This window comes from Homo sapiens, chromosome 7 (genome assembly GCF_000001405.40).
Source record: "Homo sapiens chromosome 7, GRCh38.p14 Primary Assembly".
Classification (NCBI taxonomy): Eukaryota; Metazoa; Chordata; class Mammalia; order Primates; family Hominidae; genus Homo; species Homo sapiens.
In genome coordinates, this window is record NC_000007.14 from 92,851,915 (window position 1) to 92,877,618 (window position 25,704).

Genomic DNA, 25,704 nt, shown 5'->3' on the forward strand with positions numbered 1-25,704 from the left:
CCCAGCAATGAATCAGAGGATTGTTGTTGGCGTTTCCAGCACAGTGGAAGCTAGCATCAGTATGTTATAGTGAGCCAGGGCAGTCCCAGGTTTTCTCCAGCAATGCTCATCAGCAAAAGCAGAAAAATTAGAGAGTGTGTATGATGTAAGTTTGCCCACTGATATGGTGGGTAATGAGAACTGAGACTCGGTGTTAGAAAGGATGATAAAAAGGGCTGAAAAGAAGAAACTAGAAGAACCTTCCTTTTTATAGAAAGTTAATGGATGCATTAAACTATGAGGGTTTTAGTGTTTATCGAACTTGGTGAGCAGAAAACAAAGAGGGAGATGGGAAGGTGGAGAGGTACAGTGGTAGAACCGTGATTGTGTGTGGAGAATGAATATTCTTAGCACTGGTAATAATTAAATTCAGCGAATGATCTTGCTGGTGCATCACTCAGGTTGGGTGGGGTTGGAGGATTACAGGTAGCAAGATTATGGGATTATATAGTTGAGGTATCTCATGGGTCCCTAGCATGAATTTTGAAGTTGTCAGAGGTCACGATGAAGAATAACGGTGTGGAGGAAAATCAAAAGCCACGTGCTGCATTAATTTAGAAAGTGGAAGTGGGTCTCATAGGAGTTCAGTAAACAGCAGCCATGGTGCCTTTAAGGTGGTAGAACAAAGAACCAGTGTAAATTTTAAATGAGAAGAAAGAAATGGACAATTTGGTAGTGAGTAGTTTAAAGGTTTAAAGTGTGGACTTGTGAATTACTGGAAGAAAAATCCCAAGAGGGCCAGAATTTATTTTGAAGACACTCATATACTCTATTCTAATCAGACAACCATATTTTTTTTTACCAGACTCATTTAAATCAATATTAATTGTTGTTGATTTGGTTATTCATCATTATAGATATTGTCTCTGGTAAGAAAAAGGTGTTATTTTATTCTGCCTTCATTCCTTTCTGGCAGTGTTTTGTAGTATTTCTTCATAGTTCCCGGCCTTAAAAAATGTCAGTTTGTGGGAGGATATACTTTTCCAAATATCAGATATCCTAAGTTTTTCATATATATCAAGACTGTGATCCAATTGGTAGAACCACTAAACTAGAGAGCATGTTATTTTTCAAATCATCTGTATCTAAAAAGAAAACACTGTATTCTTCCTAATATTTTCTCCCTGAATACCAACATTTATTTAATCTCACTCATGTAATCATACTCTTGGACTAGTTCTCCGAACTACCGTTATATTAACTATGTAAACTGTAACAGATACAATTATTAAATTACCTTTTGCATTAGAATAGAGAACATCCCTTTCTACGATTTTCTTGATGTATAAATAATGGCCTGATAACTTCACAGACACACTAGTATATTCACAGATACTCTGGTCATTGCAAAGCCGGTTCCTCACCCCTGTAGCTAAATAATTTCTATACAAAGCACACTGAATGCTATTTAAATCACAAGTCTCTTCCAAGAAATTTCTTCTCTTCCTAGAAAATTATTTAGTAGGGGCAGTATATGGCAGCAGTAAAGGTTAATGTTAACAAACCCCTGTCCTTTACAGTTAAGTGCTAAAAGGCAGGTGTTCTCACATTTATTATACTTCTATTGTGCTTTCCATCACTAATGTAACACTTATCTGAAAATCGATAATTTTGAAAGATTTCACAGCTGCAGTATTCTTTGTGCTTTATCACTAAGAACAAACAAACCCTATTCATTCAGTGGGATGAACTTATTACTTTTCAATCCTTATTTAAGTAAACCTGGTCTATGGAATTCCGAAGTAAGATATTACTGCTTTCCTACTTTCCTTCCTGCAGCGTTAATTCTCCTTTGGAAGACAGTCATCTTGCCTGCTGTATCCATCTCTTAGTCTAACTCTTGTTTGATATAAGATCAAAAGGCGTTCGTTTTCTGTATCAATTAGGCAGGCTGTCTTGTCTCAATGAGATTAAGTAGCCTCTGAAGAGAAGTGACACCAGGGAGGAGGTAGATGAGCTGATAATTAACATACAATATGGCTGTCTTAATTCTTTCGAAATGATAGTTTGCCTAGTCTGATGTCTTTCTTTTATAATTGTGTCCGTGGCTCATTTGTTCAGGGCAACCAAGCAGCACACACCAGACCTGATAATCAGTGGTTTGGGTTTCTAATAAAGCTGGAAGGACACATCAATTCCTTCCTAGGCTTGACATTTTTTTTTCGTACTAGGGAAAGGCCCTAATATTTTCTTGTTTCTTAGATTTTTTAAGGACATTCATGAAGTACCAGAATATTTTATTCCAAATAAATTATAAATGCAATACCCAGTATTAACTCCCAAGTTTCTTAAAGAAAATGTTATCAAAAGCAATTGTTGAGCCCCAGACAAAGCTATGTAAGCAGGGTATCAGTCCTTCTATAGGTAGACTCTGCCTAGAAGCCTGAGTTTTTATAGCCTGAGTTTTCCGCAGTCATATTTAACCATGTTTCTTGAGATAAGACTTTAATTATCTCATTACAGAAAGTGAAGCAGTGTTTTCAAAGGAGCAAACAAAACACTGGTATTTATTAACAACATTTTCTTTCAGTGTATTTCCTCTCACTTCACTTTCAGAGATTTTCTAGCCAGTTGCTTCTCTAAGAAAAGATTGTTAGGTACAAATTCCCTGAGTTTAGCTCCCTTGCCATCATCAGACTTCTAGGCTTAAACCTATTTTTATCTACTTCCTATTATCCCAGAGGCAACATTTCTACCCCTTTCCAAGTCTCAGCCTTCAATCTGTGCCCACACATTCTGGCTTCCTCCGCCATCCCCTGCTCTCGTGCTTTTTTTTCTGGCCGTATGTGTGCTCAAGACATTACAGAAGTTAAAACAAGTGATCCAAACAACCATTCTTTATCTAACCCAGCTTCTTTTCTTACTAGGTTAATGCCTTACATTTCTCCATCATCAAATTCTTAAGAAAGATATTTACATGACTTATTCTAATCATTAGTTCTATTCTCTTTGCAGTCCACCCCTGGCTGGTTTCTGCTTCCACCTGCTGATCTCACAGAGGTGAGGTGATAACAGTGATGAAACAAAATCTTCAAACCACAGCACAGTAAGAAGATGCCGAGTTTATATGTGGACACTGCTTTTGTGACTATGACTATTGTTGTGGGTTTCCTTGCTTTCCATCTCGCCAGTTCCCTTCTTGACATTGTACAGCTATTTCCTTTGTAATACAGAAACTCTCTTACAGAATATTTCCACAGCTGGCTTTCATCACTTCTTGATAGGTACCTAAATATTTCAGTTTTTTCCACTTTATTTTCCTTTAACAATAACTGCTGCCCAATTAAATAATTCATCTTTTCCCCTGTATAAGTATTTGTGGTACTGAATGAATGTTTATCAAGCACCATTTGGAATCTCCTATTTTCTCTGGCTTGGCTTTTTCACAGACTCTTGGTCTCAATTACACATGGCAGTTTGAATTAAGTGTATTTAACCATTTTAAAATTAAGAATGAGTTTAGAGTTTGTTTTAGAATTTTTTCTACCCCATAGAGATGATTGTGTGTAAATTAAAGACTAACTTTAAAATCCAAGAGTTTCTTTGTTGTATAATAGTTAGATCGTGCACATTTATAAATAACATTCAGAAGCGTGACACAGAAAAGCAAACATTATGCTTTAAAATGTTCACAAATGATAATAATAACAATGTTTATTTTCTGCTTACTATGAGGTAGGTGCATAACTAAGTTCTTTATGGGCATTAATTTATTTACTCTTTTCATCAGCCCTAGAAGTTTGGAATTTTATTATTCGTTCCAGAAAGGTTACAAAACTTGCCCTAGATAGCTCAAAACTGGTGAAGTTGGGATTCTCAAGTCTCACCCCTGCATCATATGCCATTCTGCCTCTCCAAGGATGTCTACACATCAGTGAGTTTGATAAAACAAATACTAACATGGCTTCTTGATTCTAAGATACTATCAAGTGTAAGCTGTACCACCTATTTAATATTATCTTTCCAGGATAAAGTGAATCACTACCAACAGTATGTGTGTGTGCGTATGTGTGTGTGTGTGTTATAGATATATCACACTATATTTAGTCTCTTGGTCTCAAATTATGATTTTTGGTATTGAGAACATGTATGTCTTAATTTTTTCATACAGATGGAAATTTTCAAATATTGAAATATATAAAATATTTAAGTATATACTTACTATATTATATACATAATGCATATTATGTATGTGGGGCAGTATATACCCAACATGCATATTATATATATAATATAGTAAGTATATACTTAAATATTTTATATATAACTAGAAACATAATATGCATTATGTATATAATATAGTAAGTATATACTTAAATATTTTATATTTATACATAATATGCATTATGTATATAATATATTATGTAATAATATGTAATTATATAATAATTATACTATGTAATAATATATGCTTAAGTGTATTATGTATTATACATAAATATAGAAATTAGTATCCCTTTCCTCTCATTTTACCCTCTATTTTAAGTCTTTATTCTACATAATGGTGAAAAAATTAATCTTGTTGATTTTAAGGGAGCTCAGTTTTTACAATTTTATTTTAAAATCCTCAATCAGGATTGATTTCTGCGCACTTTTCCTTAAGTTACATCTGAGTTTCTGGAGGTTTGTGCTAAATTTACGCAATAACCAGGAAGGGGATATTTGCTCTTCATTTGTCCTTGATCTTCCACTGGCATCTGCTGAGAGAGAAATTCCATATGGTTTTTGGTTGTCTGCCTCTATCCCTTTGGCCTATGTTAGGAGACCACAACCTTACAGAATTCCTGGTTATGAAGACTATAAACTACCTCCTCCTTTTTCCAACCATCAGGATTCTGGGATCTGATGGCCTCCTTTCAGTCACATATACACCTCTCTTTGGGGTACAGTGGCTGTCAGTTGTTCTCTGGTATCACACTGCGGGTGCTCGAGGCTACTCCTAAACTCCACCTCACTTAGCCCCTGGAACTTCATTCTGGTTTGAACCCTGGGGAGAAGTGGAGTAAGGCTCCTTCCTAGCTCTCTTATCTGCCCGTGGTATAACAACCAAGACCTCTCCTTGTAGGGGCAGAAAAACTCACCCTTTTATTGTTAGATACTACTCTTATCTCTATGGTATAAACTTTATGGACCAAGTTCTTCAGGGTTTTGGCTTTTTATATTCAGTGCCAAACTTTTAGTGCTCAAAACACTTCTTTTTCAAAAAACTGGGCTATCTGAAATCAAAAGCTCATTGGCTTTCAAGACTAAGTCCTCTGTTGTAAATTTTTTAAAAGCCTATTGCCTTCTTTGTTTTTCCTCATGATAACTTGTGCCCTGCTTTCTCTGGGACAAATAAATGTTCCCCAGAGGCTGTGAATGCTATTTGCTCTGGAGGTAGTGATCACCAAGACAACAGCAAAAAACTTGGTTAATATCTCCATATGTAATTCCTCCACATATATTAAAATATAAAAGTATATAACATATAAATATAATCATACAACATATATTAATATAAATAACTACAAAATTTATGATTTTATATATTATATATAATTTATGTGTAACAAGTATAGGTATATAATTTTTTCTGCCTTCTTATGTGAAGACAAGTGTTATCAGGAGAACCTGGACCGGGATAATGGCAATAAGAGTAGTGTTAAAAAAAAAAAAAGATACATACTAGAGATATGTCAAAGAAAGAGTGGTTGCAACTTAGCAATAATGTGAAGACATGGCACTGTCTACATTGGTGGGAATGTTTATATTAGAGAGACTAGACAGATTTTGGCAAACCACCTTACCTTTCTTTGCTATTACAGAAATGGCCTTGGAGGATAACGAACCTTAGAAACAGGTTTCAGAATTTTTCTATTCCTTAAAATCTGCTATGCTTTGAATGTTTGTCTCCTCTAAAACTCATGTTGAAATTTAACTGTTATTGTCACAGGCAATGATGAGACCATTTAAGAGGTTATTTGGCCAAAAGAACTTCGCCCTCATCAGTGGGATTGATGCCTTTATAAAAGAGAGGGTTTGGCCCCTTTTGCTTCTTTGTTCTTGAGCTCTTATGCCATGTGAAGAACAGCATTCCTCACTCCTGAAGGATGCTGCATTCAAGGCACCAGCTTGGAAGCAGAGACTGGGCCCTCATACCAAACATGCTGGCACCTTGATCTTGAACTGTCCAGCCTCCAGAACTGTGAGAAATAAATTTCTGCTCTTTATAAATTACCCAGTTTCAGGTATTCTGTGGTAGCAGCACAAAACAAAGACACAGCCACATTATACTCAACAAGTATTTATTGAGCATGTATTACATGAAAATCTTTGAATAAAGTGTTTCAAAGAATTCAGAGATGATTAAAACACATGCTTGAGCCGAAAGTCATAGAGTAGGGACTAAGTATATATTGTACTTCAAAGAATATAAAGGACGCTTCATAAAGCCCAAAAGTGCTTGATCAGAGAAGCGTTTTGTAAATTACAGAGACTTAGAATTTAGGGATCTTATTAGTAATAATATAATTATATTGGACTTCGAAGACATCAGGGAGCCAGCAAGGAATAAGCTCCCAAATTACAAAATAACTAAAGTTAGAACTAAATATGCAATCAAATTAGAAAAAAATGAAAAGTTATGATGTCAAGTATGACATGGTAAAGAGCAGTGACATAGGCAAGCTTACATCCTGCTGCTGGTGGTGTCTTGCCATCATTCTGGAAAATCATTTTTTACTCATGAGTCAAAATCCTTAAACAAGTTTGACCAAAGGAAATAATCTGCTAAATGTGCAGAAATGTATTTACAAAGGCTTTTATCACAACAAAATTAGGAAAAGTCCAGGTTAAATACCTTGTGTAGTATTATAATGGACATTTACCTACCTGAAATTGGCCAAATAAGTTTTCTCAGAATTGCCCCTTCACCCACCTCTTTCCACTTAATTGACTTGGGGCTGTTATATAACTTTCTAGTAAAGTACAACTGATTGGTCTAATTGATGGCATTGTCCAGGAAATTTAGAAAATAGCAAGAGTTTGGGAGGCTGAGGCGGGCGGATCACGAGGTCAGGAGATCAAGACCATCCTGGCCAACATGGTGAAACCCTGTCTCTACTAAAATACAAAAAAATTAACTGGGCGTGGTGGCGTGCGCCTGTAGTCCCAGCTACTTGGGAGGCTGAGGCAGGGGAATTGCTTGAAACCAGGAGGTGGAGGTTGCAGTGAGCTGAGATCGCGCCACTGCACTCCAGCCTGGTGACAGAGCGAGACTCTGTCCAAAAAAAAAAAAAAAGAAAAAATAGCAAGAGCAAGAATAGAAGCCATCCTTTGTACAAGAAGGAGAAAAACACCAGGCACTGTGTGTGTGGCTGTATCAAGAACACACAAGAACACACACACACACACACACACCAGGAACTATTGGCAACTTTTTTTTTAAACCACAATATGGATTAGAGAAGCACAGGAAGCCATCTATACAAAGAGAGAAGAATAAAATAGGTACATAGTAGAGACAGTTCTGATAGCTTAATAACCTCTGCTTCTGGTTTGTTCCAGAGGTTCAAGTGTTTTTTTGCACTTGGTGTCCATGAGATATAACTGATCATTATAACAGTTTGAGTTGTAACCTGAAGAATATTCATTTATATAAACATGATATATGTCATCATGTATGCATATGTCTGTGTGGGCTTGTAAAATAGAGTATTTCCCAGACAAGGAGAGATCAGATATAAAAGAGTGCTCTGTCCATCTCATACTCATTTGACTGAATATAAAAAGGCCCAGGGGAACTTTCTGGGGGAAAAAATACCATACCAAGTATTTGAGTCAGGAGGCTAACTTGCAAGGATTTCACTTGCATGGGCCCATTAAAAGAACTTGACTTTGAAAAAAGAAAATCTGAAGATCTGAGGGGTTGAATAAGTAAAACATAAATATGGTTTAAAAAACAGAAAGATATACGACAAAAGTTTCCCTACCATCCTTGTCCTCCTCTGATCAGTTCTGACACAGCTCCTTCCATTGGTAAATACTGTACTTAATATCTTATGCAAATTTTCATAGTTTATTCAAACATATACAAGCAAAAACAAGTATTGATTCTTATTTTTCATTTGTTTACAAAGGTAGTATATTGCACATACTGTTCTGCACCTTGCTTTAAATATATGTTTATATATCTATATCTGTATAGATTATAGATTTATTATAGATCTAATAATTATTATATTATAGATTTATTATATATCTAAATATATATATCTTCTTTTCCTATCAGTATAAAGAAAGATTCCTCATTTTTTTTACAGCTTCCCAATGTCCTATGTATAGGTACATCATTGTTTATTGAACTAGATCCTATTGATAGACATTTAGTTGTTTCCAGTCTTTGGCTCTTACAAACAATGCTACAATAAATAACTTTGCACAAAAGTCATTTCTCACCTGTGCATGAATATCTGCACAATACATTTTTCCATAAGTAATTCTGAGTCTTTAATGGCTTTTGTTTTTTGAAAGAATTCACCTGATTATCCTTTCTGTGGGAATGAACACTGGTGGAAGAAAGGATGTGTTTCTAAAAAGCTAAAAAGCTATAACATATTAGGGCTGAAGCCACTCTGTTACAGGGACTCCTTAAGATAGTCCAACCCAGGAAGAAGAGACATGTTTTTGTCTACTTTTGCAGAAAGGATGAGTAGTGGTCTAAACATAGCCAAAGAGATGAAATTGGGGTGGAGATAGTGGTCTGATTGAAACATGGCTGTGGCTCAAACTTGAGGCCGTGATTATGTTATGGGCTGCTGAGGTTTGAGCAGAACTTTGCAAAGATGAGTGACTCTAGCAGTACAAAGGGTAGCACAAGGGTAACTTTTTTCCATGTTCTTACATTTTCTTACATTTTTTCACAGCTAATGAAAGCCATAGCACTGTGAAGCTTGGTGATATTTGAGTAATATATACTTAGAAAATGTTGGGAAGAATAGAGCCATATTAATGGTGGTTTTCTCTAGGAGTACAAGGTAATAAGTGAATGTATCACTTTACCTATTTCTTGACATTAATAAGTGCAACCTCTGTTGAGAATTGATGTATATCTCTCCTGATCTTTTCTCATATAAGTACATGTATTTACCAATATAAGTGATTTTTTCTTTTATTGTCTAGATAGGATATTTCTACATATACATATGATTGTGAAATTATCTGTTTTTACATTATATATATTTTGGAGATCTTTCCAAGTTAGTATTTGCACTCATGTTTAAAAAGGGAGCAGGGCCTTTGAAGTTAGGTGACTTTTACACCTTTTATCATGACTACTTTTTGTGGAGCTGAAATGATATTTTCATTCTGCTTTGGTGTTTCAGTGCTTTGTTCGAAGTTAAGTGTTTTCAGAAAAGTATATTTTGCTTTTTTTTTTTAACAGCCTAATTTTTGGCTATGGGGAAGTTTCTATTGTATAAAACTATAAAAGGTTTTTCTACTGACTCCAGGGTATTCTGATGATTGAAGCCTGTGTGTAAATTGCTACCAAATGGTAAAAAGCAACAATAAATAGTTTGATTTTTTAAAACTATGTAAAGTTGGATTCTAATGTTGAAAAAATGTGTGCATGTATATGTAATTTTCATTATGCTCTTAGGAAAAAAAACTACTAAGAAAGCCTTCAAAATGTTAAAGGTGTATATCTTTAGATTGGCTCTAAGTTTACAAATTTTTATATTTATATTTATACTTATTTTATTTTAAAAGTTTTCTGTAAGAAGAATTGCTTTTATAGTTAAAAAAATTCATAAAATGCAATGCAATTTGTACTACAATATAGTACCTACAGTCCTGTGACACAGGAGAAGACAGACATAGGAAGAGTTTGAAGAGGTGGATTTTAGAGTTTTGGGAGGAGGGATCAATTAAGAAAACCTCTCTACCCCATGGACTTTGGCACCAGCTGAGAGAGGGGCAAATGAAGATCAACTGATCACTGTTACCAGGACAAATACTGCATACTATCACTTGTATGCGGAATCTAAAAGAGTCCAACTAGTGGAAGTAGAGAGTGGAATGGTGGTTACAAGGTATATTAGTTCATTTTCACCCTGCTGATAAAGACATACCCGAGACTGGAATATTTACAAAAGAAAGAGGTTTATTGGACTTACAGTCCCATGTGGCTGGGGAGGCTTTACAATCATGGTAGAAGGTAAAAGGCATGTCTCACATGGCAGCAGACAAGAGAAGAGAGCTCGTGCAGGGAAACTCCTTTTTTTGAAACCATCAGATCTCATGAAAATCATTCACTATCACAAGAGCAGTGCAGGAAACTCACCCCCGTAATTCAATCACTTCCCACCAGTTTCCTCCCATGGCATGTGGGAATTGTGGGAGTTACAATTCAAGATGAGATTTCAGTAGGGACACAACCAAACCATATCTTTCTGTCCCTGGCCCCTCCAAATCTCATGTCCTCACATTTCAAAACCAATCATGCCTTCCCAACAGTCCTCCAAAGTCTTAACTCATTTCAGCATTAACTCAAAAGTCCAAGTCCAACATGTCATCTGAGACAAGGCAAGTCCCTTCCCCTCTGAACCTGTAAAATCAAAAGCAAGTTAGTCACTTCCTAGATACAGTGGGGGTCCTGACATTACATAAATACAGTTGTTCCAAATGGAAGAAATTGGCCAAAACCAGGGGGCTACAGGCTCCATGCAAGTTCGAAATCCAGCAGGGCAGTCAGATCTTAAAGCTCCAAAATGATCTCCTTTGACTCCATGTCAAGTATTGGGTCATGCCGATGCAAGAGGTGGGTTCCCACAGTCTTGGGCAGCTCTGCTCTTGTGGCTCTGCAGGGTGCAGCCTCCCTCCTGGCTGCTTTCATGGGCCGATGTTGAGTGTCTGTGGCTTTTCCAGGCACATGGTGCAAGCTATTGGTGGATCTATCATTCTAGGGTCTGGAGGACAGTGGCCCTCTTCTCACAGCTCCACTAGGTGGTGCCCCAGTAGGGACTCTGTGTGGGGGCTCTGACCCCACTTTTCCCTTCCACAATGCCCTAGCAGAGGTTCTCCATGAGAGCCCCACCCCTGCAGCAAACTTCTGCCTGGGCATTGAGGCATTGCCATACATCTTCTGCAATCTACTGGAGGTTCCCAAACCCCAATTCTTGACTTCTGTGTACTCACAGGCTCAACACCACGTGGAAGCTGCCAAGGTTTTGGGCTTGCACCCTCTTAAGCCATGGCCTGAGCTCTATGTTGGCCCCTTTCAGCCATGGCTAGACTGGCTAGGATGCAGGACACTGAGTCCCTAGGCTGCACATAGTACGGGGACCCTGGGCCTGGCCCACAAAACCACATTTTCCTCCTAGGCATCTGGGCCTGTGATGGGAGGGGCTGCCTTGAAGACCTCTGACATGTCCTGAAGACATTTTCCCATTGTCTTGGGGATTAACATTTGGCTCCTTGTTACTTGTGCAAACTTTTGCAGCCAGCTTGAATTTCACCTCAGAAAAAGTTATTTTCTTTTCTATCACATTGTCAGGCTGCAATTTTCCCAAACTTTTATGCTCTGTTTCCTTTTAAAACTGAATGCCTTTAACAGCACCCAAGTCACCTTTTGAATGCTATGCTGCTTAGAAATTTCTTCCACCAGATACCCTAAATCATCTCTCTCAAGTTCAAAGTTCCACAAATCTCTAGGGCAGGGGCAAAATGCTGCCAGTCTCTTTGCTAAAACATAACGAGTCACCTTTGCTCCAGTTCCCTTCCTCATCTCCATCTGAGACCACCTCAGCCTGGATTTCATTGTCCATATCACTATCAGCATTTTTGTCAAAGCCATTAAACAAGTCTCTAGGAGGTTCCAAATTTTCCCACATTTTACTATCTTCTTCTGAGCCGTCCAAACTCTTCCAACCTCTGCCTGTTACCCATTTCCAACGTTGCTTCCACATTTTTGGTTATCTTTTTTTTTTTTTTTTTTTTTTTGAGACAGAGTTTTGCTCTTGTCACTAGGCTGGAGTGCAATGGCATGACCTCAGCTCACTGTAACCTCTCTGTCCCAGGTTCAAGTGATTCTCCTGCCTCAGCCTCCTGAAGTAGCTGGGATTACAGGCACCTGCCACCATGCCCAGCTAATATTTTGTATTTTTAGTAGAGACAGGGTTTCACCATGTTGGCCAGGCTGGTCTTGAACTCCTGACCTCAGGTGATCCACCCACCTCGGCCTCTCAAAGTGCTGGGATTACAGGCATGAGCCACCATGCCCGCCCCATTTTTGGGTATCTTTTCAGCAACACGCCCTCTACTGGTACCAATTTACTGAATTAGTCCATTTTCACACTGCTGATAAAGACATACCAGAGACTGGGAAATTGCCAAAAGAAAGAGGTTTATCAGATTTACAGTTTTACGTGGCTGGGGAGGCCTCACAACCATGGTAGAAGGTGAAAGGCATGTCTCACGTGGTGACAGACAAGAGAAGAGAGCTTGTGCAGGGAAACTCCCCTTTTTAAAACCTGTGAGACTCATTCACTATCATGAGAACAGCACAGGAAAGACCTGCCCCCATAATTCAATCACCTCCCACTGGCTTCCTCCCACGATGTGTGGGAATTGTGGGAGTTACAATTCAAGATGAGATTTGGGTGGAGACACAGCCAAACCATATCACGAGGGAAGAGGAGAAGAATGAGGAGTTGTTAATCAAAGGATACAAGTTTCAATTAGACAAGAAAAATAAATGTTGAGGTCTATTGTAGAGCAGGGTGACTATAGACAATAATAATATATTGTATATTTTCAAACAAATGGGAGAGTAAATTTCAAATGTCTTGCCACGAAAAATGGTTAAGTGAGGTGATTAATATCTTAATTAGCTTGACTTAATCATTCCACTTTGTATACATGTATCAAAACATTACACTGTACTTTATAAATGTATACAACTGTGATTTGTCAATTAAAACTAATAATTTTTTTTTTCTAGTTGGAGTCTTGCTCTGTTGCCCAGGCTGGAGTGTAGTGGCGTGATCTCGGCTTACTGCAACCTCCAACTCTGAGGTTCAAGCAATTCTCCTGCCTCAGCCTCCTGAGTAGCTGGGACTACAGGTGTGCCTCACCATGCCCAGCTAATTTTTGTATTTTTAGCGGAGACGGGGTTTCACCATGTTGGCCAGGGTGGTCTTGTACTCCTGACCTCAAGCAGTCCACCCACCTCGGCCTCCCAAACTGATAATGTTTTTAAAAGTAAAAAAATAAAGATAAAAATGCATTACTCTAAATAACCTTCCTACTCCTAAACTAATCTGTGTTATATATTAGTAAAGATTAAAGCATATACCTTTACGTTTGTTAGCTAAGCTGGTTTGCAAACAAAACAAGACAGTTTTATAAGGGTGGTCTCCGATATATTTGCCACAAGTTGCCTTATAGCAAGCAGAGGCAAGGAAGAATGCATCTTCTCTGTAAGGAAGAGGCTGAGAAGCAAAGCTCTGCTCCTTCTCTCAAACTAATCAGAAAATTTATTCTTTCCCTGTGGAGGGCAAATAAAGTGCTACTTTAGTGATCCTTGTTCCACATGAAAACACATAGCCAGAAAAAAATGGAAGTGCCTCATCCCCAACACTGGGGAATGTTCAGTCGAGTCAAATACCATAGGAAGATAAACTAGGCAAAGTACCAAAATAATTTCTGGAGAATGGTGGAGAAGAAATCAGAAGTAAAGAATTCCCTGAAGTAGACAGTAGAGATAATCTCCATAGACTATGCTTTTAAGATGCATGCCAGTTAAAAAGCGTGAGAATAGGATGTAGGTTGAGAGAGTGCACAGAGAAAATAAGGTTCACTTTTTATTTTAATTTTATGTATTCATTTAAAAAACTTTTAGAATCAGAGAAACTTAAGCCTGTTTATAGCTTGAGGGGAGAGAGTGAAGAGGGAGAATTTTAACAGAAGAGAGAGAATAACTGGTATTATGGAGGTCTAGAGTTGGTTGGAGGCAAAATGAAGCATATTTTTTTCTGAAGCAGGAGGTTTCATCATCAGTTCAGCCAAAGAATTTAGGCATGGAGAATAACTGGGAGCTGACTACAGATAGTTGAACCATATTTGGTCAAGTATGAAGTCCCCAACAAATTTGTAATTAAATCGATCAATACAGTTATTTAATTTAATTTAACTATTATAGGAGCTTAGAAGCAAAGGAGATAAATATTTTATTACATTTGGTTTGGGGAATTGGCAAGGCAGAAATAGCTTATAAGATTAGGCAAACAACCCAAACAAATAAAATAAATAAAATTTAACAGATCGCGAATTTTTTTTTTCTGGAAAGAAACCTCTCCTAGAGAATAAAATTCAAAAGGAATTTTGGGAAGGATAAGGTTTAAGTTATAGTAAGCATGAAAAATAAAGGTTCACTTTGTTGACCAACTCTCTGGATTATGCTTTATTGTTATTATCAAGTCAAGTTCTATTAAAATAAGTGCATTTGATAAAGTAACCTAATATGTCAAATATGTTATTAATAGAAAATCTTAAGTGATGATGTTAAGTGTCATAAATGATCTACTGAACTGAGAATGTACGCCTATAGCAGGACCTGATTTGAATTACATATATAGATGTGGACATGTTCAATGAGGCAAAGCAGATAAACATACGTAAGCATTGGTTTTATCTAGTTACTATGATCGTTCAATCCTTTGCTCTCATGAACCTTCAAAACTGGCAAAAGAACAAAGTTAGAACTGAATAGTGCTGCTATTTTTAATCAGTCATGTGTTCCAAATACATTAATTGCATACCAGCTCTGTGAAATAAGTGTGCTTGGCTAAGAGACAGGACATTGTGTTTTAGAAATAAAGAATTTCCCCAAATGTCCACATTTTATAAATGTAATTCATGTTAAGATTTTATTACAGATTAATCATAAATATGGTACTGACTACAATATGAAGTCAGGACATATAATACTTAATATCTGACCTTCTTCATATTGGATCCCATTTATGCTATAGGCTGTTTTCACTGGAGGATGCTTTATGTGTGTGGGAGGTACTTATCAAGTAACAGAGATTTAGGGTCAAGTTACCAATTTGTATAAAAGCATGGAGGGTATAATGTAGGAAAGATGGAGATCAGAAGCAGGTTGCCATGTTTAAGTCAGGACTTAGAAAACAAGGCAGACTTGTCAAGGTCAGAACATGTAGTAATCAGTAAACTAGGGGAAGGTAGGAGAAACATTGTAATGAAGGATAGACAGATTTGTGAGAGGTTTTAAGTAGCTTAATAATTCTTCTATCTCTAACTGACCCCACCTATCAGTTGAACTCCCATTTGGTCAAACCATATTCCGTGATTACACGTTGTAGTGCGTTCCATGAAAATAAGTCATCTATCATAAGTTAACAGGATGTTTCTGAACCACCATGTAAGTATATGTTTCTGGAATGATTATACCTGTAGTGATGATCAATTCTGAAGAGCCCAAAGTCTCCCTTGGGATATCACTGTGAGCACCTGTATCCCTTGGTGGAAGAGCTGACTGGAATTAGCTGTTGGTCTGTATTCAAAGTCATGATACAGAACAAAACCAGTTAGGGGTCAGAGTGTTGACTTTGGCTTTAGTTGCACCCTTCTCTAACCTATTGAACTAATTTGCCATAGACAGAGTGGGATCAAAGTTATGCACATGTAACTTAAGGAAAGGGTATTTTCTGACTCTTCATCTTTAAAATCCAGCTTTGAAATATTTTTGGTCAAGTCAATCCAGACTTTTTAGTCAAGGCAATAAATAAATAAAGGCAGGTAAAGGACTATGAATGAAAATATATTTGTTTCTGAATACTGGTAATAAGTGACAAGATTTCTTTGGTAAAATTCAAGTTTTACTCATTGTGATTAGACATTTATTCTTGTGAATATAAAGCTGTTTTATTTAATATCTTTCAAATTATCACTTCCATTTTCTAAATTAAGGGTCAGTACACTTTCTCTATTAAGGGGGTATGTATTTTAATTTTTGTGGGTCATACTGTCTTTGTGGCAGCTCTTCAACTCTGCAGAGTGAAAGTAGCCACAGACAATATGTAAATGGTTGGATGTGCCTATGTTCCAGTAAAACTTTATTTACAAAACAGGTGACAGACTGGATTTGGCCCTGCTTCCTGTTTATTATATTTAGGAAATTGAAAACATCAGTTTGCTTTAGATAATAATAATATTAGCTTGACAGCATTGATTGGACATTTACTCTATGCTAGGTACTGTTGTGAAATCTTTATTAATTCATTTAATCTTCCACTAACCCCAATTCTGTGTTTATAGGTTAAGAAACTTGTTTAAGATTCTGCAGCCTGCAAGCATTGAAGCAGGGATTTTGACCTTAGCAGTCTAACTCCAGAGTCTGAACTCTTAATGACGAAAAATAGATATCACCCAGGAGACACTCTACCCTTTTCCAGTGTCACTCTATTATTTTGCACTTGGGAAAGCCTGACAGGTGAACTTACCCCACAGTACCTGAGTTGTCTAACTGATGGCCATTTCTCCCACTTTGTGACTGGCTGGCCCTGATTCACTAGGCTGCAGCTTCCCCATGTGGATATCCACAGGAAGGAGGATGTGGGCCATGCCACATCCCTAGATACTGCTCTGGCTCTGCATGCCACATGCCACACCACACATGTGCATAGAGGTGAATCCAAATGATCAGGAACTCTTGGTGTGGTTAATGAGATTTCTGACTTAGTGGGGCAACATTTGAAAGTCTACCCTGCATGGATCTGTTCCCATGCCCAAAAGAAAAGCACACACACATGAAAGACAAACTTTGTATAGAGGAGGCATTGGTGGACACACCCCTGTGTGTCCTTTCTAATTTTGGGGCTTCTCTCCTCTTTAAGGGGCCTCTTTCTTCAAAATGGCACAGTATGAATCCTCATACTGTGGGGATTCACCTTTTTGAGAGTTCTGCCCCCCAACCCACAGACTGTGGTCTGGAGCTTGGTTCTAGCTTCCTCCCCCACACTCCAGGCAATCTGTGGAATCCAGTAACCTGTAAGGACTCCATCAGTGAATTCTCCACCTTCTAACTACTGGTTGGGCTTAGCTGATGGAGAGCCCTGGAAGTGGATAAGAGGGAAGCAAAGAGAAAGAAGAGTGAGGTCAGGATGTGTATTCCCTGGATCCTTCTTTTCAAGATATCAGAGATAGTTAATTTTTATGTGTCAACATGGCTAGACAGTAGTCCCCAGTTATTCAGTTAAACACAAATCTAGGTATTGCTGTGAAAGTATTTAGTAGTTGTGATTAAAGTCCATAACCAATTGACTGTAAGTAAGGGACAGAGATTATCTGAATCTGGTGGGTCTGACTCAATTGGTTGAAAGGCCTTAAGAGATAACTGAAGCTTCCAAGAAGAAGAACTAATTCTGCCTGTGGACTGTTGCTTCACCCTGTGCCTGAGTGTTCTAGTCTGCCCTTTCTTTCAATGGCCTACCTTACAGATTTTGGACTTGCTATATCAGCCCCCACAATCACATAAGCCTATTATTTGCAACAAATCTCGCAATATATAGCTCTTACTAGTTCTATTTCTCTGTTTGAGCCTTGACTGATATAGTGGTCTTGAGCTGGCTGTGTCTTTTAACCAAAGGCCAAAGTTCCTCTGAAGTGGCTGACTCTACCTGACTCTTTATCCTTCCTTTTCCTGTAAATATTTCCAGCCTAAGGGTGATAACAGTTTAAGTTACTATCCCATTATTAGTAGTTCTCTTACACCCCACATTTGTATATAATCTCTTTGTAAGTCAACTATCCTTGAATTATCCTATTTTGAGCATGCTCTTTCCTCTTGGGAGTCAATAGATATATCCACTAATTAAGCATACTTAAAATCTAAGGCAATCATCATATACATTAATTCATTTATTCAAAATACTGTTGGGTGCCTTTTATGAGCTTGCAAAGTGATAGGCTCAAGGGATATAATGGTTAATTTAAGAGCATAGTTCATGTATTCTTGAGCTTACTATTTGGTGGAAGAGGCAGACAATTAAACAGTTATTGTTTTGTGGAGGAAATTTTATGATGAGGAAAGACAGCATGTGTGAGAAAAAGAGGGCCGAATGCAATGGCTCACGCCTGTAATCCCAGATTTTGGGAGGCTGAGAAGGGTGGATCACCTGAGGTCGGGAGTTCAAGACCAGCCTGACCAACATGGAGAAACCCTGTCTCTACTAAAAAAAAAAAAAAAAAAAAAAAATACAAAATTAGCTGGGCGTGGTGGCACATGCCTGTAATCCCAGCTACTCGGGAGGCTGAGGCAAGAGAATTGCTTGAACCCGGGAGGCGGAGGTCGCGGTGAGCCGAGATTGTGCCATTGCACTCCAGCCTCGGCAACAAGAGCAAGACTCCATCTCAAAAAAAAAAAAAAAAAAAAAAAAAAAAACAGAAAAAGAGAAGAAAAGATTTATTCCAAAAAGAGAAAAAGAGAAAGAAAAGATTTATTTCCCCCACAAAAAAAAAAAAAAAAAAAAGGAGGCCGGGTGTGGTGGCTCATGCCTGTAATCCCAGCACTTTGGGAGGGCAAGGTGGGTGGATCGCTTGAGCCCAGGAGTTTGAGACCAGTCCAGGCAACATGGCAAAACCCTATCTCTACTAAAAATACAAAAAAAAAAAAAAAAAAAAAAAAAAGAAGGTGCTTCTAACCCGGTATTATTAAGGTTAGGCATCTGGGAAAACTTCCCAGAGGAAAAGATTTCTAAGCTGAGACCTGAAGGAGGAGAAAAAATGAGCAACGCAAAAGTGTGTGTGGGGTAAATGGTATATGTGTGTGGTGGGGAGAAGTGTTTCAGACAAGCGAGTAACATGTTCTAAGGGAGTGTGGCTTCTTTATGACCCTGAGAGTTGTTGGGTATAGAGGGGTGAAAGCACCATCTGCAGAACCTGGCAGGCACCAGATTGTGGAGGACCTCGCTGTCATGATGAAGAGTTGGGGTACCGGAAGCCACTGGAGGGTTTTCAGCCAGGGGATGTTGTAATGAGATTTGAGTTTTAGAAAGATCCCTCTGCAGAGTGGAGAAAATACCAACGGGGCAAGCCTGGAGTTCTAGTTATGCAGGCAAAAGATGATGGTGTCTTGCACAAGAGCAGAGACTAGCCCAGGAAAAGAGAAAATGGTAGGTTTTTAGAGATGTTTAGAAACTAAATTTGACTGATCTCGAGGAAAATTGGGATTTTGGCTCTGGGCATTGTGGAAGGTAAAATAAAAAGAAGAGCTACGGTCCCTTAGGTTTCAGCATTGGGTGGATGGATGATGGTGCATTTCCTGAGATAGAAAACACAGGTTTGGGGAGAAGAAGATGAGTAACGTTATGAACATGTTGAGTTTGAGGAACCTGTGAGATGTGCAAGTGGAAGGTGAGTAGTAGGGTAAACAGGCCTGAAGGCTATAAGGGAGTTTTGAGCAAGAGGTAAAAATCTGAGATTTATCAGTAATTAGATAAGTCTTGGAGTTAAGGACTTATTTATCTATTTGCTGATAAATCTCAGATTTTTGCCTCTTGCTCAAAACTCTGTAAGTCCTGGAGTCAAGAAACCAATTAAGACTGGGCGTGGCGCCTCATGCTTGTAATCCCAGCACTTTGGGAGGCTGAGGCTGGGCGGATTCACCTGAAGTCAGGAGTTTGAGACCAGCATGGCCAACATGGTGAAACCCCATCTCTACTAAAAATACAAAAAGTAGCTGGGCATGGTGGCACGTGCCTGTGATCCTAGCTACTCAGGAAGCCAAGGCAGGAGAATTGCTTGAACCGAGAGAGTGGAGGTTACAGTGAGCTGAGATCATGCCACTGCACTCCAACCTGGGCGACAGAATGAGAATCTGTCGAAAAAAAAACCAAAAAAAAACCAAAAAGCCAATTAAGCCAGGGGAAAAAATCTTTGCTGGAACACACAGTTAACTCCTGGAATAGTCTTCTGTTAAGACCAGTTTGAGAAGTGTTCAAATAGTTGCTTTTGAACAATAACCAAATGTGAAATGTGTAGTGATATGCTGTAATATTATAGCGAGATACCTAAGGAAATCCAATCAAAGCTGAAGCCTATTCAGGTGCAATTTTATTTGTTTTTAATTATATCATACAGAGGGGTTTTTGTTTTCTTTTTTCTGTAGAGTCTGGGGGGGTCTCTCTATGTTGCCTAGGCTGGTCCTGAACTCCTGGTCTGAAGCAATTCTCCTGCCTCAGCCTCCCAAAGTCCTGGGATTATAGGCGTAAGCCATCATGCCTGGCCTTTGCAGGAAGTTTTAGATGCCCCAGTCTGTTGGCTGTGCTCAAAAATAACAGTAGCAAATATTTATGTGGCACTGACAATGTTTCAGGCAGCATTCTAAGCACTTTACAGGTATTAACACATTCATTCTTCAAAACCACCTGTGAACTAAGTACTATTATTATCCCCATTTTATGGATGAAGGTACTGAGGCACAGAGAGGTTATGTCATGCCCAGGTTCATACAGTTGGGTCCAGAGCTCTAGCCCTTGGCTACACGGCTGTGCTGCTCTCTGATGGGCTTCTTATAGCCAGCATGATCTGCTGAAGCTCAATTTCACCTCTGCATAGTGGGATTGGCTACCTGTAAATTTGCCAGAATAATGAATGATAGATGGAAGTGCATTTAGACTACCCAGTAAGGGTCCAACTGACTTGTATTGGCATGTTTCTCAGGCTTGATGACATCACAAGACTCTGAACTTTTCACAGGCTTTGGAAATAGTAGCAGCCCTAGGTGAACTCTCTTTGAAAAAGAGTTACCAAAGTATGGATTTATCACACTTCTAAGGAACCATAAACTTGGAGGAAAGAGTTTACCTCTGTCCTCTCTAGAAGGAGTTGGCCAGGATGAACTCATTTCTTGGTCTGGGTTTATTTTGGGAAATGCTCTGGGACCCAGGGAAAGGCTCTGGTTTCAAGACTCTTGGCACAAAGGCTCCCAGGAAGTGGTTAGGCTAGAGCTGGCAAATGTTGGAGGCAGTGGGGGCCAGAGGCCTGCTAATCCCTAATATCAGTTATCATGGGCCACCATCCTAAATCTCTGCTCAATTCCTGGGCTTTCATATGTAATTAACCTTTCATATGAGAAGAAATAAGATTTTGACTTTGTGCCTCTTTGGAAAGTGCTTACATAAAACCAGTGACTTAGTTGGTTCCAGTAAAATAATTATTTTATGCCACTCTGAGAGTCCGGTGAACTGGTGATAACTAAGCAACTAGTAGAAGATCTGGAAACTTTCAGTACTAATTTAAGCTCAATATGGTTCTGCTCCTCTTTTGTGGCCAAATTACACTGGAAAAAGCATTTGCAAGTACCTCTGGATACCTTCAAAGTTCATCCTGCATTTAATGATATGCGGTGTTTTTTGTTTTGTTTTGTTTTGTTTTTAGCATACCAAAGCCAATCCTTTTGGGGGAGGGGAGATTGGAACATCTAATTTAAAGGAATTAAAGCAAGAATTAAATATCAAGAAACTCAATAGAGAGAAATTGAAATTAAAGTAATATTTCTTAAACAGCAAATGTAATTTTAACAAAATCATATAACACTGTTAGTTCTACAAAAGCACAGAGAACCCACAAATATAAGCAATAAATCTATTTGGCTAATTTGGTGTGTAAGCAGGTGTAGAAGGTAGGAAAATGTGTTTGTCGATTCCTAAAAGACTAGCAATAAAGTCCAAGGATAGAAGGGTAGAAAGCTGTCTTCTGTGAATGTCTTGTTTATTCCTGAAATAGAAATTTTATTCCTGTTATTTTAGTTCTGTCCATTTCCCACTAAACTGACAGAAGAAGTTTCAATTTATCACAGCAGGTTATGGTCAGCCTGGAAATCGAGTAATAAAGTGTCTTTGTAATCACTTGATAAATCATGCTGAGATAAAAGCTCTTTGCTCATTCAGAGATGGAGTAAAATATGTGGGATCCAAAGCTGGTTCACAGGCCATTTGCTGATAAGCTGCTGTTTCAGAGGAATTCAAGCTTTTAAGAAATCCCACCCTAGTCTTCTGGGTTTCCAGTTTGTTTTTACTAGTAATTGCACATTAAAATACCACTTTGCTTCGCTTAACAGATGACATCTAAGACCATGGATGACAAAAGACAGATTACCAAAGGAAGTTGTGGGAACTCTTGCTAAACCATTTAAAAAAAAGAAAAATTTTAAGCCAGGAGTGATTAAACCCAGCCAGGTCTAACATCAACATGCACAAACTGTATATTGGGGACAATTTATATCTCTATAATTAAATAATTTTATAGCTTAGCCCAACCTTTATGAAGAAATGAGTCTGTTGTTTGATAGAGCAACATATAACAGAAGGATTATAACTATTGCTAGATCAATTAGGGTCAACAATATAATATTTTCTTGATTATCTTTTTTTTTGGTCAAAAATGCAGGATAAAGAATGCCCATAAATTTCTCACAGTGCATACTCATGTCCATTATTTTCTAAATAGCTTTATAGCAAATTTAGTGCCTTTTTTGTATTTACTTGATTCTGCTTTGTTTTCAGATAAGGGCATATAAAACACTAGATTAATAGCGTAACAAAAATTTCGCATGTGTTGAAAAATTTCTAGAGGGCATTACAGGCATTTTCTATTCATTCCCCAAGACCCAGCTGAAAGGTCACCTTCACAGGAAGCTTTCTCAGCTTTACTCATACAGTCAGTTGTTTCCTTCTGTTCCCACAGCACTTAGCCCAGACCACTGTATAGCATTTTTATCTATTACTTAGTGTGATTATTTGCTTCCCTTTAATCTGGAAATTCTTCAGAAACAGAGACCTTGCATTAATCATTATGTCTTTATCATCTAGCACAGTACGTGGCATATGGTAGGCATGTAATAATTACTATGGGACAACAATATTTATGGTAAGTGAATGTAGAAACCATGTTTAGCTTGCAGATATACAGCTGCAATTCAGAAGTTGAAGCCCCTTGAGACTTCATTTTTGCCATTAGGTTGTCTGATGACTCTGTTAAAAAATTCAGCGTGGTCTGGTTCGTTTTCTAGTCTTTCAAATCTCCCAAAGAATGGTTCAAAGCTTTGGTTATATTAGATTTGTTATGTTGAATTCAACTTGAGGTTAGGAGGCTATAGGAGAAAAAATTGGAAATGTTTGGGCTTTATATAAAGACTTGGATGGGAGTAATATCAGCAAGATGGCAGAATAGGAGGTCTTAGGCTTCAGTCCACCACACAGAAAGTCCAACTAGCAACTATTCAGACAAGAACACCTTTGTGAAAACTGCAAAACTTGGAAATGAGACTGAGATACCTACATGGACCACAGAAATGAAAAACTATATTAGAAGGGTAAGAGGAACTGTCTCACTTTAACCATGTCAGCACAGTCCCACACAGAGGAAATTCCCCAGGCCTATGGTTTCTATAGTAGGAAAAGTGAGCCTGGTTGGACATCCAGCTTCCCCAGCATCATGGGTCACCCACTCCTATCTTGCCTTATGGGGGAATACTATGGGTAATGGTGGGACTAGAGCGTTTGGAGTCCAGTAAAAACAAAAAAAGGGGGAAGGGTTCATAGTAACCACTATACAGATCTTGGTGGTAGCTGTGTATTCCTGCCAATGGTGGCACCTGATCAAAGATACCAAGCCAATGTTATAGCCTACCCACAAAGCTGAGCTGATTGCTCCCAGAAATACAGTGGGAAGTTCTACCTGGCTTGAGTCCCTAGCCAGCCACTCCAACCAACCTCACAGCCTACCACAATGGTCCACCCAGGCAGGGAGATGTATGCCATCATGTATTTCTGCAGACCACAGGGGCTGGACCTGCCTGACCTGGGAGCCCAAACAGTGACTTGGCCCTACCTCAGAGCTTACCTCAAGATTGTGCTCTAGCAGGGAAATGCCTGCCACTGTTTTTTTGTTTTTTTTTTTTTTTGTACAGCATAGGGGCTGGCCCTGCCCAACCTGGGAGTTGAAACAGTGACTCAGCCTAGTCGCAGAGCCCACGCAAGACTCTGCCCAGGCAAGGAGGCAAGCCTCAACTATGTATTCCTATGGAGCATAGCCTCTAGTCTTGAAAATTCCAAGCAATGACTCTGCCTAAGCTTAAAGCCCAGTCCACAGGCTGTCCAACTCTAGAATCCAAATAGTAGTACTGCACAGCCAGGGAATACAGCCTGTGACTCTGCTGGATTAGAGGTAATCACAGTGCCTGGCCAATAGGTCAGCCAGACTGCAGAGTCCAGTGAATGGTCTCACTGGACTGCAGCCCCCAACTGTAGTACCACCCAACCTAACAGCAAAGGCAATGGAACCTAAAGAAACAGAGATCTATAAAATGACAAAGAATTCAGAATAAATCTCTTAAAGAAGTTCAGTGACCTGTTTAAAAAAATAAGGATAGAAAATTAAAATTTGGAAGCCAATACATGAAAAAAATGAAAAGTTTCACAAAAAATAAAAACAAATAAACAAAAACCAAATAGAAAACATAGAAATGAAAAAGACAGTTGCTTAATAGAATAATTCAATAGAAGGCTTCAACAGCAGACTCAATCAAGCAGAAGAAAGAATAAGTGACCTCAAAGAGAGACCATTTCAAATTTTATAGTAAGAGAATTATAAATAAATAAATGAGAAAGAATGAAGAAAGTCTATAGGAATTGGGGGGTACTTTCAAGAAAACTGACTTTTGCATAACAAAAATACCAGAAGGAGAAGAGAAAGAAGGCCAGGAAGCATATTTTAAGAAATAATAACTGAAAACTTCCCAAATCTGGGGAAGGATGCCAACATCCAGGTACCAGAAGCCCAGAGAACTCCAATAAAATTCAACCCAAAGAGGAGTTCACCAAGATACATCCTAACCAGACTATTAAAAATCAAAGACCAAAAAGAAAAAGACAAAAAAAGAATTCTGAAAGCAGTGAGAGAAAGGAGACTCATCACATAAGAGGGAGTCCCAATGCAGCTATCAGCAGATTTCTTAGCAGAAACTTTGCAGGCCAGGAAAGAGTGGGATGATATATTAAAAGTGCTGAAGAAAAAAAATTGCCAGCTAAGAAAACGTCACCTAGCAAAGCTATTCTTCAAAAATGAGGAAGAAATAAAAACTTTCCCAGACAAACAAAAGCTAAGGGAGCTTATCACAAGGCCTGCTACAGGGAGTTCTTTAAGCTGAAATAAAGGCCACTAACTAATAAAATAAAACATATGAAATTACAAAACCCAATGGTATAAGTAATATGTAGTCATATTCAGAACACTCTAGTATTTTAATAGTGGTGTGTAACGTAATTTTATCTCTAGTATATGGGTTTAAAGGCAAAACTATCAAAAACAGCTGTAACTACAATAATTTGTTAAGAGATGTAAGTTACAAGAAAAAAAATGTAAATTTTGACACCAAAATCATGAAATGTAGGGGAAGGGGAGTAAAAATGTATAGTTTTAAAATATAATCAGGGTTAAGTTGTTACCACTCTGTAAAAGCCCATTATAAATATAAGAATTGTTATGTAAGCCTCATTATAACCACAAAGCAAAAACCTGTAGTACCTGCACAAAACATGAAAAGGATTCAAAGCACACCACTACAGAAAACCATCAAACCACAAGGCAAAACAGCAAGAG

General features: G+C 38.3%; 1 long non-coding RNA gene across 3 annotated transcripts in view; it reads left to right on the forward strand.

Moving 5' to 3' along the window:
• The window catches only part of CDK6-AS1 (CDK6 antisense RNA 1), an 80,705-nt gene that overhangs the window by 15,432 nt on the left and 39,569 nt on the right, over positions 1 to 25,704 (forward strand). For 2 of the 3 annotated variants that reach the window (NR_110086.1, NR_110087.1), the window contains exon 2: positions 2,995 to 3,039. The exons of the other annotated variant lie outside the window; for it this stretch is intronic. This is a non-coding gene — a long non-coding RNA (CDK6 antisense RNA 1). The remainder of the gene's footprint in view (positions 1 to 2,994; positions 3,040 to 25,704) is intronic. 3 annotated transcript variants of the gene reach the window in all.